Source organism: Homo sapiens, chromosome 22 (assembly GCF_000001405.40).
Source record: "Homo sapiens chromosome 22, GRCh38.p14 Primary Assembly".
Lineage (NCBI taxonomy): Eukaryota > Metazoa > Chordata > Mammalia > Primates > Hominidae > Homo > Homo sapiens.
In genome coordinates, this window is record NC_000022.11 from 39,482,818 (window position 1) to 39,497,235 (window position 14,418).

The 14,418-nt window shown below is 54.4% G+C and overlaps 1 protein-coding gene across 2 annotated transcripts in view, besides 5 other annotated features; it reads left to right on the top strand.

Annotated features, from left to right (window-relative positions):
• The window catches only part of MGAT3 (beta-1,4-mannosyl-glycoprotein 4-beta-N-acetylglucosaminyltransferase), a 35,183-nt gene extending 25,806 nt beyond the window's left edge, over positions 1-9,377 (top strand). Inside the window, exon 2 of one of the 2 annotated variants that reach the window (NM_002409.5) lies at positions 4,530-9,377. In NM_002409.5, coding sequence (NP_002400.3) covers positions 4,531-6,132 — 1,602 coding nt within the window. In that variant the 5' untranslated portion in view covers position 4,530 and the 3' untranslated portion in view covers positions 6,133-9,377. Of the gene's footprint in view, positions 1-4,406 lie in introns of those variants that run through there. The other variant, NM_001098270.2, reaches the window with a different exon arrangement.
• Positions 7,367-7,661: an enhancer, noted in NCBI's record as "tiled region #8945; HepG2 Activating non-DNase unmatched - State 8:EnhW, and K562 Activating DNase unmatched - State 5:Enh". NCBI's record gives its function as "activates a minimal TATA promoter and a strong SV40 promoter by Sharpr-MPRA in HepG2 and K562 cells {active_cell/tissue: HepG2 | K562}" and the evidence as "EXISTENCE:reporter gene assay evidence [ECO:0000049][PMID:27701403]".
• Positions 12,805-12,864: a silencer, noted in NCBI's record as "silent region_13755". NCBI's record gives its function as "represses an Ori minimal core promoter by ATAC-STARR-seq in GM12878 lymphoblastoid cells {active_cell/tissue: GM12878}" and the evidence as "EXISTENCE:reporter gene assay evidence [ECO:0000049][PMID:35858748]".
• Positions 12,955-13,054: a silencer, noted in NCBI's record as "silent region_13756". NCBI's record gives its function as "represses an Ori minimal core promoter by ATAC-STARR-seq in GM12878 lymphoblastoid cells {active_cell/tissue: GM12878}" and the evidence as "EXISTENCE:reporter gene assay evidence [ECO:0000049][PMID:35858748]".
• Positions 13,133-13,633: an enhancer, noted in NCBI's record as "H3K4me1 hESC enhancer chr22:39891955-39892455 (GRCh37/hg19 assembly coordinates)". NCBI's record gives its function as "activates a minimal SCP1, AML or CMV promoter by ChIP-STARR-seq in naive H9 embryonic stem cells {active_cell/tissue: H9 hESC(naive)}" and the evidence as "EXISTENCE:reporter gene assay evidence [ECO:0000049][PMID:30033119]".
• Positions 13,450-13,499: an enhancer, noted in NCBI's record as "active region_19056". NCBI's record gives its function as "activates an Ori minimal core promoter by ATAC-STARR-seq in GM12878 lymphoblastoid cells {active_cell/tissue: GM12878}" and the evidence as "EXISTENCE:reporter gene assay evidence [ECO:0000049][PMID:35858748]".

The window sequence follows — 14,418 nt, forward strand, 5'->3', positions numbered from 1 at the left end:
TTGATTCTCAGCAGCAACCCAGACTGAGGCCTTATTAAGGGGCCCTGTCCTGAAGGCTCCAGTGACTGAGAGGGGAGCTCCCAAGCACTGGTGAGTCCGTGCTCAGAAGGGCACAGCTGGCTATGAGTAACTAGATCCTGAAAGCCAGCCAAGGGGCAGCTGGGTCAATCTGACCTCAGCAGGTCCACGGAGGCCCTTTACGCCAAGCAGGCTGTTTCCTTGCCTCTCTGAGTTCCTCTTACCTTGCTTTGCTAAAGCCTTTGTTCATGCTGCCAGGGGATTTAGAGTCTGAATGGCAGCCCCAGGCCATGCCTGCCACATAGCTTACACCAGTTGTGTAACTTAGAGTGTCCCCCTCAGAGGCAGGTCCCAAGTACAGAAAAATAGCCCACTAAGGCTAGGCACAGTGGCCCACACCTGTAATCCCAGCACTCTGGGAGGCCAAGGCGGGCAGATCACCTGAGGTCAGGAGTTCGAGACGAGCCTGACCAACATGGTGAAACCCCACCTCTACTAAAGATACAAAATTAGCCGGTGTAGTGGTGCATGTCTGTAGTCCCAGCTACTCAGGAGGCTAAGGCGGGAGAATTGCTTGAGGCAGAGGTTGTGGTGAGCTGAGATCGCACCATTGCACTCCAGCCTGGGCAACAAGAGCAAAACTCCGTCTCAAAAAAATTAAAAAATTAAAAAAAAAAAGAAAAGAAAAATAGCCCACCAGAAGGATCCAGGCTGCCTTTCCAAGTCCTGAAACCCCAAGAGTAGGTTGCTCTGGAAGCTTCCGCCATGCTAACCCCGGCTGCAGTATTGCCTTGTGTCTGGTCCTGGCCACAGCACTCCTAGCCCCTTTTGCTCACCCAGCTGGTCCAGCCCAACTGGTCTCACTTTGCCAGACAAGGGCTGGAATCCAAAATGGAGAATGAAGTGCAGAAGACCCACTTCAAAATGTTATCAAGGAGCAGCCCCTCCTTCCAAACTCCAGTGGCGAACAGCCCCAGCTCTGCCCTGGGACATTTAGCAGAGGTCAGGCCCCTACCCCAGATTGTTCTACCTGCCCGCAGTCAGCTGTGCCCACTCCGTGTGGACAGCTCCAGGGGGGCAGGCGTTTACTGGAGGAGGGATATCTGAGCTCGAATGGGGCAAACGCTGCCCTGATTGTCGGGATCAGCAGCTCCACTGCTTCTTACCAGCCTGCTCAGGACTCCTCGCAAGCTGAGGTCATGAGGGGCACCTGGTGCAGGAGCCCAGCTGCCCGGTTCACACTCCAGCTCTGTTGTGACTTTGGGCAGGTCCCTGAAGGCCCCTAGGTCCTGGTTTCCTCCTCTATAAAATGAAAGAGTTGGAGGAGATGGTCCTTAAAATTTCTAGATCAATCGTGTTGTGATTCTGTGCCTTACGACCATGTGGCTTGTAGAAAATTAAACTGCGGGCATCCAGCCTTGAGCATTGAAGGGAACAAGAGCTTATTGAGCATGCTGCATGCCAGGAACTCTGTGCCCATTTCACAGATGGAGAAACTAAGGTTCAGAATGATTAGGAGCCTTGTTTTTTTTTGTTTGTTTGTTTGTTGTTTTTTGAGACGGAGTCTCACTCTGTTGCCCAGGTTGGAGTACAGTGGTGCGATCTCGGCTCACTGCAACCCCCACGTCCCTGGTTCAAGCGATTCTCCTGCCTCAGCCTCCCTAGTAGCTGGGATTACAGGTGCCCACCACCATGACTAGCTAATTTTTGTATTTTTAGTAGTGACAGGGTTTCACAATGTTGGCCAGGCTGGTCTCAAACTCCTGACCTCTGGTGATCCACCTGCCTCAGCTTCCCAAAGTGCTGGGATTACAGGCGTGAGCCACCACGCCTAACCCAAATTCCTATCTTTCCACCCTACCTTGCTGTCCTTAAAAAGTAGGGAGGCTGGCCATGGTGGTTCATGCCTGTAATCCCAGCACTTTCAGAAGCTGAGGCGGGCAGATCACTTGAGGTCAGGAGTTCAAGGCCAGCCTGGCCAACGTAGTGAAACCACATCTGCACTAAAAATACAAAAGTTATCAGGGCATGGTGGCACACGCCTGTAATTCCAGCTACTTGGGAGGCTGAGGCAAGAGAATTGCTTGAACCTGGTAGATGGAAGTTGCAGCGAGCCAGGATCTAGCCACTGCACTTCAGCCTGGGTGACAGAGTGAGACCCTGTCTCAAAAAAAAAGTGAGGGGGAGAGCATGACCCAGAGAAAGAATCAAAAATAAAGAGAAGCCACAGATGGGAACATTTTAAGAATATCTAGGTGGGACAGTGCCAGATGCCAAAGGCAAGGTTTCTGTCTCAGCCTTTTCTGTGACTCAGTGGGTTCCCCCCGGACAGGTCACTGGTCTCACTTGGCCCCACCCAGCATCTTCACTGGTCAAATGGATGTAAACTCCTGGCTCGCCTGCCCACCTGCCTAGACTCAAGGGTGAAATGAGCTGGATGGCTACGGTCGGAGGTGCTCTGTGGCTGCACGGCTCATTCATAAAACGAGGGATCCAAATCCAGCATGGGGTTTGGCTGATGGTGACATTCTGATGTCCGTTTCCTAGTTGTGACAAATGTACCATGGTGGTATAAACTGGGAGCAACAGGGTGAAGTGTGTGAGGAAGCCTCTGTGCTGTCTTTGCACCTTTTCTGATAATCTACAAATATTCTAAAATTAAAAGTTTATTTAGGCCAGGCATGGTGGCTCATGCCTGTAATCTCAGCACTTTGGGAGGTCGAGGTGGGCGGATCACCTGAGGTCAGGAGTTCGAGACCTGCCTAGCCAACATGGCGAAACCCCATCTCTACTACAAATACAAAAATTAGCTGGGTGTGGTGGTGTGTGCCTGTAATCCCAGCTACTTGGGAGGCTGAGGTGAGAATTCCTTGAACCTGGGAGGCAGGGGCTGCAGTGAGCAGAGATCGCACCACTGCACTTCAGCCTGGGCGACAGAGCAAGACTCTGTCTTAAAAACAAACAAACAAACAAAAACACACAAAAAAAATTTAAATTGGAGAATGAGAATATACAAGCATCTCCATTCCACAGCCATAAACTGATTGATAAATTAAACTGTATAAATGAATAGCAAATGGTTACATCATGAGTCATGAATACAGAGTGATTTATTCACAATAGCCATGTAATATGTGGGATTTAAAAGGAACTGGTACATTTATTTCTACTGATACCAAAATCTTTTAAATCTATCATTGATTGAGGAAAACAACTTGGTTAGACTTAGTGTCCAATATGGTAGTATTTATGAAAAATATTAAATCAAGAATAGAAAAATTGCATATAAAGCCAGAGATAGACCTCAAATTTTTTTTTTTTTTTTTTTAGATGGAGTCTTGCTCTTGTCACCCAGGTTCTGGAGTGCAATGGCGTGATCATGGCTCACTGCAACTTCCGCCCCCTGGGTTCAAGTAATTCTCCTGCCTCAGCCGGTATAGCTGGGATTATAGGCATGCGCCACTACACTCAGCTAACTTTTGTATTTTTAGTAGAGACAGGGTTTCACCATGTTGGCCAGGCTGGTCTCGAACTCCTGACCTTGTGATCTGCCCACCTCGGCCTCCCAAAGTGCTGGGATTATAGGCGTGAGCCACTGCACTGGCCGACCTCAAATTTTTATGCCTGGAGATTAGTAAAGGGCATGGAATAATGAAGGGGAACTTTTATTTTATTTTGTTTTTGAGATAGGGTCTCAGTCTGTTGTCCAGGCTGGGGCGCAGTGGTGCAATCATGGCTCACTGCAGCCTCAACCTCGAGGTCTCAAGTGATCCTCCCACCTCAGCCTCCTAAGTAGCTGGGACCACAAGCACATGGCACCACACCTGGCTAATTTTTAAATTTTCTGTAGAGATGGGGTCTCACTATGTTGTCCAAGCTGGTCTCAAACTCCTGGGCTCAAGTGATCCTCCTGCCTCAGCCTCTGAAGGTGTTGGGATTACAGGCGTGAGCCACCACGCCTGGCCTAATTTTATTCATTAAATATGTTAGAATTAAGTGTTTTCCCTTGAGACCTGTGAGTTTTTTCAGTGAAAAAATATTCAAAAGGTTTGTCAGTATGTCCATAAAAAAGAAGATAGGAGGGGAGGGACAGGACCCAGGAGGGCAGCCTACAGCCTGCTCTCCCCGTTCTGTCCTGGGGCGGAGTCTGTACTGCGAGTTGAGCTTTTCCCAAGGCGCATGTTACTCCTGGAGCCAAGCCTAGCAGTGCAGCCGCACAGTCAGGGTGGGGTGGGCCAGGCGGAGAAGCAGGCTGCAGAGGGGGCAGGGTGGTGGCCTGGGGATCTCAGGGAAGGGCTATGGGAGCACGGCGGTGTCCTCAGTGCTGGGGCTTTCAGGGGCCTTGGTACCGCGAGTTGACTCTTGGGGGCAGGAGGTCACTCCATGCAGGGGCAGCAGGTGCTGGCCACCACATTGTCCAGCAAGGTGGCAGCAGAGGCCTCCTAGGTCCCCTTCCTAGGAAAGGAGCCTGGGCTGCCCTGATGAGTCTCCTGTCTCTCTCTCTCCCGCAGGATGAAGATGAGACGCTACAAGCTCTTTCTCATGTTCTGTATGGCCGGCCTGTGCCTCATCTCCTTCCTGCACTTCTTCAAGACCCTGTCCTATGTCACCTTCCCCCGAGAACTGGCCTCCCTCAGCCCTAACCTGGTGTCCAGCTTTTTCTGGAACAATGCCCCGGTCACGCCCCAGGCCAGCCCCGAGCCAGGAGGCCCTGACCTGCTGCGTACCCCACTCTACTCCCACTCGCCCCTGCTGCAGCCGCTGCCGCCCAGCAAGGCGGCCGAGGAGCTCCACCGGGTGGACTTGGTGCTGCCCGAGGACACCACCGAGTATTTCGTGCGCACCAAGGCCGGCGGCGTCTGCTTCAAACCCGGCACCAAGATGCTGGAGAGGCCGCCCCCGGGACGGCCGGAGGAGAAGCCTGAGGGGGCCAACGGCTCCTCGGCCCGGCGGCCACCCCGGTACCTCCTGAGCGCCCGGGAGCGCACGGGGGGCCGAGGCGCCCGGCGCAAGTGGGTGGAGTGCGTGTGCCTGCCCGGCTGGCACGGACCCAGCTGCGGCGTGCCCACTGTGGTGCAGTACTCCAACCTGCCCACCAAGGAGCGGCTGGTGCCCAGGGAGGTGCCGCGCCGCGTCATCAACGCCATCAACGTCAACCACGAGTTCGACCTGCTGGACGTGCGCTTCCACGAGCTGGGCGACGTGGTGGACGCCTTTGTGGTGTGCGAGTCCAACTTCACGGCTTATGGGGAGCCGCGGCCGCTCAAGTTCCGGGAGATGCTGACCAATGGCACCTTCGAGTACATCCGCCACAAGGTGCTCTATGTCTTCCTGGACCACTTCCCGCCCGGCGGCCGGCAGGACGGCTGGATCGCCGACGACTACCTGCGCACCTTCCTCACCCAGGACGGCGTCTCGCGGCTGCGCAACCTGCGGCCCGACGACGTCTTCATCATTGACGATGCGGACGAGATCCCGGCCCGTGACGGCGTCCTTTTCCTCAAGCTCTACGATGGCTGGACCGAGCCCTTCGCCTTCCACATGCGCAAGTCGCTCTACGGCTTCTTCTGGAAGCAGCCGGGCACCCTGGAGGTGGTGTCAGGCTGCACGGTGGACATGCTGCAGGCAGTGTATGGGCTGGACGGCATCCGCCTGCGCCGCCGCCAGTACTACACCATGCCCAACTTCAGACAGTATGAGAACCGCACCGGCCACATCCTGGTGCAGTGGTCGCTGGGCAGCCCCCTGCACTTCGCCGGCTGGCACTGCTCCTGGTGCTTCACGCCCGAGGGCATCTACTTCAAGCTCGTGTCCGCCCAGAATGGCGACTTCCCACGCTGGGGTGACTACGAGGACAAGCGGGACCTGAACTACATCCGCGGCCTGATCCGCACCGGGGGCTGGTTCGACGGCACGCAGCAGGAGTACCCGCCTGCAGACCCCAGCGAGCACATGTATGCGCCCAAGTACCTGCTGAAGAACTACGACCGGTTCCACTACCTGCTGGACAACCCCTACCAGGAGCCCAGGAGCACGGCGGCGGGCGGGTGGCGCCACAGGGGTCCCGAGGGAAGGCCGCCCGCCCGGGGCAAACTGGACGAGGCGGAAGTCTAGAGCTGCATGATCTGATAGGGTTTGTGACAGGGCGGGGGTGGCGGCGGCCCCTAGCGCTATCTCCCTGCCTCCTGCCGGCTCCTTGGTTCTTGAGGGGACCAGGAGTGGGTGGGGAGTGGGGGTGGGGGTAGGGTTTCCCTACTGAAGCCCTTGTGAATCAAGGGTCAGGCCTTTGAGCTCAGAAAATATCCCTCCTGTTGGGAGAGGGCGCAGGCCGTGACGTCTGGGTGGCCCTTATGACTGCCAAGACTGCTGTGGCCAGGAGGTGCCACTGGAGTGTGCGTGGTGGTCCCTGGGTAGCGGGGGAGGGTAGGCAGGATTGGGGAAGAGAGCCTGCAGGATCTCACCAGGCAGCCTCTGGGGGGTGGCCAGGCCGGGAAAAAGCCCACCATTTGGCATCCCTGGGCCTTGGGCTCCGTGTGGGAGACCGGCCTGCCAGGAGGACCCAGGGCTCTGTAAGTAGATGCATTTGGGTCCAGGAGGAAGCGTGGACACCTCGTAGGGAAGAGATGAAAAAGCCACATCCTACCAAGAGGAGGTGCTGAGGGATGCTTTGCAGTGTAGTCAGAAGTGCTGGGCCAGATGGAGACAGAACTCCACCCCCTGCCGCAAAGGACAGGACCTGGCTGCCCTGGGATGCTGGTGCCTGAGTCTGTCTCTGTGCACCCCTCAGGCTGTCGTGAGCCAACACAGGGGCCTGGAGAACCCTGAGGAGCTTTCCTTTTGGTTCTAAACCCGGCGTTGACGTTCCTTCTCCCTTTCACATTGCTGTCTTGTGGACTGTGCACTCAGTCCTTGCAAGGCCAAGAGTCCAGTTGTAGGTGTGGCCTTGAGGGGGAAGTGGGGAGGAGAAGACTGACATGAGTCCTCTGCACGGATCCGTCTCTCCCTCCCCATCACCCCTTCCTTCTGACACCCAGTCCCAGCTGTCCACTGTCCCAGGTGCAGTCACTGTTGTGCCCTTCCTTGGGGCAGGCTGGCTGGGGGCCAGAAAGGGGCCATGAGGCTGTCTTGGGCCCAAAAAGGGACAATAAGGCCAGTTGTATGCTTCCTGTTCCTCATAGCTTGCCTTGGTGGGGATGTCTTTGTTGGAGTTGATTCTGAGCTGCTGTGATTAGGAGACCCTGAAATACAGTGGTTTAAGCAAGATGGAAGCTTGTTTCTAATTAGTCTAGATTGAGATGGCCCAGAGCTGGTAGGGCAGCTCTGCGTTTCTTCATACGCACCTTCCAATTCTGGGTACACAGCGGCTGCTCCAGCGCCCACCCTCCTGTGTGCATCCAAGCCTGGGGGAAGCAGAAATAGACAAGAGGGCACACCCACTTTTTGCTAAAGGCATGAGCCAGAATTGGCAGGCTCACCTCTGCTGGCCTCTCATTGGCTGGGACTCAGTCACATGGCCACAAGCAGCTGCTAGGGAACCTGGGAAGTGTAGTCTTCAGCGGGGCCGCCATGTGCCTGGCCTCACCTTGGGAGTTATCTTATTGATGGAGGAGAAGAGAATGGATATGGGGGACCAGTAGCATCTCTGGGAGAGGGGGAGGGAGCAGCAATAACTCAGTCGTCGGATCCAGCTCTCATTGTCAGAGTTTCCGGAACAGCTTGCTCCTGTTTCCCTCACTGTGCAGCCCAGGGCTGGGGGCAGTGAGGAGCTTGCAGCTCTGTGGGAAGGGGAAACACCCCCTCCCCTCGGCCCCTCAGACGCTACCCAATGATGCCGGTTTGCAGAGTTGGCCTGTGGAATGGCTCATGTTTGTGCGTGTGTGTGTGTATATTTATGGGCATGGGTGCATGCTTGGTGTGTATTTGTACATGTCTGTATTGCTGTGTCCCTGTAAATACATGCTTGTGTATGGATGGAAGAGGCCAGGCCCAGGCCTGGCCTCTTCCTCGGGCCTGTGGCCACACCTCCTGCAGCTCCCCAAAATGACTGAGGCAGAAAGCCCTTGGGGAGCCTAGAAAGCAAAGCTAAAGGGGATGCAGGGTCTGTCTGTCTGTCTGTCTTTCAGTCTGAGGAATGAGAATCCTGACCTGAGGGCTGTGCAGCTGAGAGCCCACTACCTCCCCAGCCCCTCTCGGCCCCAGCCGCATCATCCCACCTGTCCCCTCCCCCCCACCTCCAGTGGGGCTTTCTCCAGATGTCTTATGGTTGGGGGTTTCCTGATGGGCCAGGAGAGGAGGGCATCTTCTTGCGACAGCACTGTCTGGGTTAAGTGCCCAGTGAGGGCATGGTGTGGGGAGCTGGCCTCAGAGGAGCCGCTGGTGGGCAAGCGTGAAGTGGGCTGAGGGGCTCTGAGCCACTTTGCTCCCATCTAGGGGACTGCCCCCCATGGAACTCCTTTGAAGTCACAGCAGCCTTCCTTTCTGTTTGCTCTTGGGGCTGAGAGGTGGCTCAAACACTCGGGGTCCCTATGGCTCTGGGTCAATCTAGGCCAGGCTGCACCCCATGGACAGGGAGTCTCAGGGCTCCTGATCATGCCCAGGCCCTGGCCTGGGGCCTCCCTCCTTGGCAGCTTTCCCACCCCCACGCCCCTGGCATCCTCAGTTGCTATGGGATGCCCCTCCAGGGCACCAGCTCAGGGCTAAGCGAAGGAAGATAGGAGCAGCTCAGAGCTGCCAGGCTCTGCCTTCCTCACAGACCTGGTGGGGCAGGTCCTGTTCACAGCAGCAGGAGTGAAGGCCTGGCCATCGGTGGAGAGGGCAGCTGTCAGAGGGCTGGGGGCCAGGGCACAGGATTGAAGAGTTTCACATATCATCACAGCATACACTGGGAATTTGGTGGGGGCAGAAGAACCCAGGGCCACTCCCTCAATATGAAGGGAAACCAAGCTGAATGTGACCACCGGCACACTGCTGCCATGTCCCATGTCCACCTTTCTCCCCGGGAATAACTGGCCCTGAGACCCCTAGACCCAAGGAGGCCTGTCCATGCCAAGCATCCGGGAAGCATGGCTGGCCTTATCCACCCATGGGTCACGTCGGTTCCCAGGGGCAGCATGGGAGATCTTTGGGGGCAACAGGGAGAGTCTGGGTGGGGAGACGGGACTTGTCCAAGCAGAAGGCAGGACCCTGGGAAATGCATAATGTAAGGACATCAATAATAGTATTATTTTTTTTGTAAGGGAAAATCAATATGTACATTCTGAAATCATTTTCTCTGTAAATGGTTGGATTTCATTTCACCCTTAAAGGGATGCTTAAAGGAGAAGATAATATTAATAATAAAAACAGCTACAAAGTCTGAATTGTGTGCATGTGTGGCCGGTTTGTGGGTGCTCTGGGGCAGGGAGGGGTGGGAACAGGTGGCTCTGGTCTTGCTAAAGACACCCTTACTTCTGGATCCATGGGGTGCAAGAACTTCCCAAGGACTGGATGGCCAGTGGGGAGAGGGGGCTGCAGGGAGCACCTTCACTTAGGGATGACGTGTCCCCCAGCCGCAGGTGGAAGCAGCTGGGAAGTGGAGGATGCTGGGCTGAGGTCTGGTGGAAGGAAGCAGAAGTGAACCAGGCTCCTAGGACCAGGGGCACCCACCCTCCTGCAGGTGGGCAGGGACCCTTTTGGGGATCTGGATGAAGGCTTTGGTGCCTCTGCAGAGAGGGGGTGGTTCTACAATTCTGCTCTGGGGCATCAAAATAAGTGCTCCTGCCTCAGTAGTTTTTCCTGTCAGGTTCTAAATGCCTCATCCAAGGTCACAGCCTTGTAGATTCTGGACCTGGACTCTCAGCACCGGACTCTCTGGACTCCCAGGAGCAGGTATCTCCCTCCCATGTAGCCAACCTTGAACTTGTGCTTGGACAGCACCTGGAGCCTTGGGATGTCAGGGCTTCCAAGGAGCTTCCTCTGGGCCGGGTGGGCACTGGAGTTGTCCTGGGGGTCCCCTGTGTGTGTCCTAAAGACAGTCTCAGGCGGTGGGAACAGACACTTTTTTTTTTTTTTGAGACAGAGTCTCACTCTGTTGCCCAGGCTAGAGCGCAGTGGCGCGATCTCAGCTCCTGCAATCTCCACCTCCTGGGTTCAAGCGATTCTCCTGTCTCCAAGCGATTCTCCTGTGTCAGCCTCCTGAGTAGCTGGGATTACAGGCATGTGCCACCAGGCCTGGCTAATTTCTCTATGTTTAGTAGAGACGGGGTTTCACCATGTTGGTCAGGCTGGTCTCGAACTCCTGACCTCGTGATCCGCCCACCTCAGCCTCCCAGAGTGCTGGGATTACAGGCGTGAGCCACCGCGCCCGGCTGAACAGACACCTTTTGAGCTCTGCCATGGTCCCCTGTTGGGTGGCTGTGCAACCTCCATGTTAGATGGAGAGACGGAGGCCCAGAGATGGAAGGAGGTGTGACCACAGTCCTGGTGGCCAAAGCAAGGGCTCATGTTTTCTGACCACTCGCAAAGTGTCACGCATGCATCAGTCTGACACCTGCGGGCTGGGACTGCTTGGACTTCTGGCCACACTCACAAAGCCCAGAAAGGTACCTGCTGCAGGTACTTGGAGTGGGGATGGGGTGAGGGTTGAATTCCACAGGGTTGAGGAAGTGGAGAAGATGTAGACACCCTACCTAGCCAGAAGAGGGCATTATTGACCCACATGCCGTTTAAGATCAAGTTAACAACCCTCAAATCATGTCCTATGGTGAATCATCATCATCATCATCATCATCATCATCATCATCAGTATTTACAGACATTATTGATTAAGTGCCTATTTTGTGCCAAACTCTGAGCTAAAAGACATCCCTCCCCATTATACCCATTTTCCACGTCTGTAAAAGGACCCCACAGCACCTGTGAAGTCTGCTGCTAAAAATGAACCACCTGGATCGAATCCCAAGGAAACAGTACACAAACCGGAACTGAGAGACAATCTGCAACAGACTAGCTTCTCTCATATGAATGCATTTCTTGCAATTCTGTTTATCTGAAGTGTTTGCAGAAAAGCCCAACCCCGCATCAGTTTCACCAACCACTTTCCAAATTCCTATCCTGGAATTTGGATGGCCAAGAGCTTCTAGAGGCAAAACATCAACAGTGACTCAAATGTTTGTCATGGTGGCCTCCACATGTAGCCTGGTTTTCCCACTCATCCCAGCTGACCAACGTGTGTGAGCCCAGCTGAGACCAGAAAAACTGCCTAGTCAAGTCCAGCCTAAATACTGATCCAGTCTCATGAGCCCAATTGCTGCTAAGTTTCTTGGTTTCTTACACAGCTTAATTGTGGCCATAGATAACTGGTACAGTTTGCTTTCATTTAATGACAACCTAAACTAGTGAGGCAAACTAGAAAAACCAACCCAAACCAGTGAGGCAGGCAAGGAATTTACTGGTTTACTAATGGTAAAGTTCAGGGGTAATGTCGGCTTCGGGTACAGTCACATTGTCATCCAGCTCTCTTGTGGCTGAGCACAGCTCCACTTCCTAACTTGCATTGTCCCAAGTCTCAGACAGGTTTACCCCTCATGCCTGCAAGACGGCTGCAGCAGCTTCAGGCTTCACCATCTCAGCTTTACGCTCAGCACAACAGAAATAGAGCTCCTCTCTCTCAGAGTCCTGGGTGTGGATCTCACTGACTTGATTTAGGTCACGTGAATATCCCTGAATGCATCAGTGAGACTGGAGGGGCTTGGGATGGAATCTGCCAATTCACGTAGATCAATCAGAGCCCTGTGTCTACTGGCTGAGGAAAAGGGAAGGTGGTTCTCCAAAAGAAATCTGGGGCCCAGATGGTACCTTTGGCACAGCCTCAGCTGCCTCCAACAGGCCTTTCACCAGCCACCAGCCCTTGGTCACCTCCCTCTCCTGGGTCCTCATCTGTAACACAGGACCGTCATAGGACAGACCTCCAGCGGTGATTGTGAGGATGCTCAGAGCTTGGAGCAGAGCCTGGAGCATGGTGAGAGCTCCATGAGCGTGAGCACTCAGCATCGTGGCCCCATTTGCACCTTCCATCTCCTTGCATGTGATGCGTGGGTCATGCCTCCTTTCCTGGGTCTGCTTCCCTTAGCCTCTGTGACTCATCTGTCTCGTGGCTCTCCTCTTCCTCCTCCCTCTATGACATTTCTTCCTGGTTGTCTTCCTGGTTCCTTTTTCCCCACGCACCCCTTCAATAAGGGGGCTCCCCAGGGCTTGGCCCTGGATCCACTCTCTACCTGCAGTTCTCAGTGCTTACCAACGTGGAGCTGGATCCATCTCTCCAGGGAGTCCTCTTTCCTAAGGACCCAGCCCATGAAGCCCGCTGCCTGCTGCACGAAGCCCCCAGGTGTCAATGTCACCTCAAATACCATGTGGCCTAAATGGAACTCGGCTTCCTATAAAAATCTGAGCCCATAAATTCCTTTGTTTGTTTGTTTGTTTGTTTGAGATGGAGTCTCACTCTGTCACCCAGGCTGGAGTGCAGCGGCATGATCTTGGCTCATTGCAACCTCTGCCTCCCGGGTTCAAGTGATTCTCCTGCCTCAGCCTCCTAAGTAGTTGGGATTACAGGTGCCCGCTACCAAGCCCGGCTAATTTGTGTATTTTTAGTAGAGACGGGGTTTTACCATGTTGGCCAGGCTGGTCTTGAACTCCTGACCTCAGGTGATCCACCCACCATGGCCTCCCAAAGTGCTGCGATTACAGTTGTGAGCCACCCTGCCCAGCCAAATTCCTTTTTTAAAAAGACACCACCAGAGGGCAGCAGGTATTCTCTGGCCCAAACTTCCTCCTCTGCAAGGCCTTGCCTACAGGGTAGGTTGCCCCCCAGTTATTGGCCCAACCTGGCCCAGACTTGGCACTGCTATTAACTGTCACATGGGACCCCCTATGGTGTAATTAGAACCTGCTACCTGTCCTGCCAGGCTGCCTTCTGAAGACCCAGCATGCCTCACAGCAGGCCCTGGTTAGAGCACTGGGCCTTCTAGAAGGCCACACGGGACAAGGCCAGGCCCTCATCCACATGAGTGTCCACAAAGTATTCAAAGGTAACAACCTAAACCGGGCTCGGTGGATCATGCCTGTAATCCCAGCACTTTGGGAGGTCGAGGTTGGCGGATCACCTGAGGCCAGGAGTTCGAGACCAGCCTGCACAACATGGTGAAACCCTGTCTCTACTAAAAATACAAAAATTAGCTGGGCGTGGTGGTGGGCGCCTGTAATCCCAGCTAGTCGGGAGGCTGAGGCAGGAGAATTGCTTGAACCCGGGAGGTGGAGGTTGTAGTGAGCTGAGATCATGCCATTGTACTCCAGCCTGGGCAACAGACTGAGATCCTGTCTCAAAAAACAAGAACAACAACAACAACAACAGCAAGACGAGACACATTTTTCTGCTTTCTAGGAGCTCAAAAGTGTTTGAGAGTAGGCGGTGTTTCCCAGGCTGGGCACCGCTGACACCGCAGGCCAGTTCATTCCTTGCTATGAGGCTGTCCTGTACAATGTAGGGCGCTGAAGCAGCGTCCCTGGCCTCCAGCCACTCGATACCAGTGGAACCCACCTCTGCAAATGTGACAACCAAAAAATGTTTCCAGACGTTACTAAATATTGCCTGGAGTGCAAACTCACTGGAGGAAGAAGCAGACGGTTGTGGAGCCCTGAGCATGTACAAGGCCAGCACTTTGCATACATTGCCTCATGGAATCCTCTGGGGGCGCTGCCGGCACTCACTGGAGTGTCAGCTTTTCTCCCACGGAACTGAGTGATATTCAGAGCTGGGCCCTTCCATTTTCCAGCCTGCGAAGACTAAAGGGGGGATCCCAGGATTTAGGGAGATTAAGGGCATGAATTGCTCAAAGGCATGCAGCTCCTAACCAGGATTTAGGACCAGGGGCTCCAATACCCTTCTCATTGTGCTGCATTGTCTCCTAGTGGGAGGGCCAGGCACAGCTGTGACTGGCATCTCACTTGCTTTTCTTTCTTTCCTTTTTTTTTTGAATCTCACGCTATCACACAGGCTGGAGTGCAGTGGCACGATCTCGGCTCACTGCAACCTCTGCCTCCTGGGTTCAAGCGATTCTCCTGCCTCAGCCTCCTGAGTAGCTGGGATTACAGGTGCACCCCACCACGCCCGGCTAATTTTTGTATTTTTTAGTAGAGATGGGGTTTCTCCCTGTTGGTCATGCTGGTCTTGAACTCCTGACCTCGTGATCCGCCCACCTCGGCCTCCCAAAGTGCTGGGATTACAGGTGTGAGTCACCGTGCCCGGCCTCTTTTTTCCTTTTCTTTCTTTCTTTCTTTTTTTTTTTTTTTGAGACAGAGTTTTGCTCTTGTTGCCAAGACTGGAGTGCAATGGTACGATCTCGGCTCACCGCAACCTCACCTCCT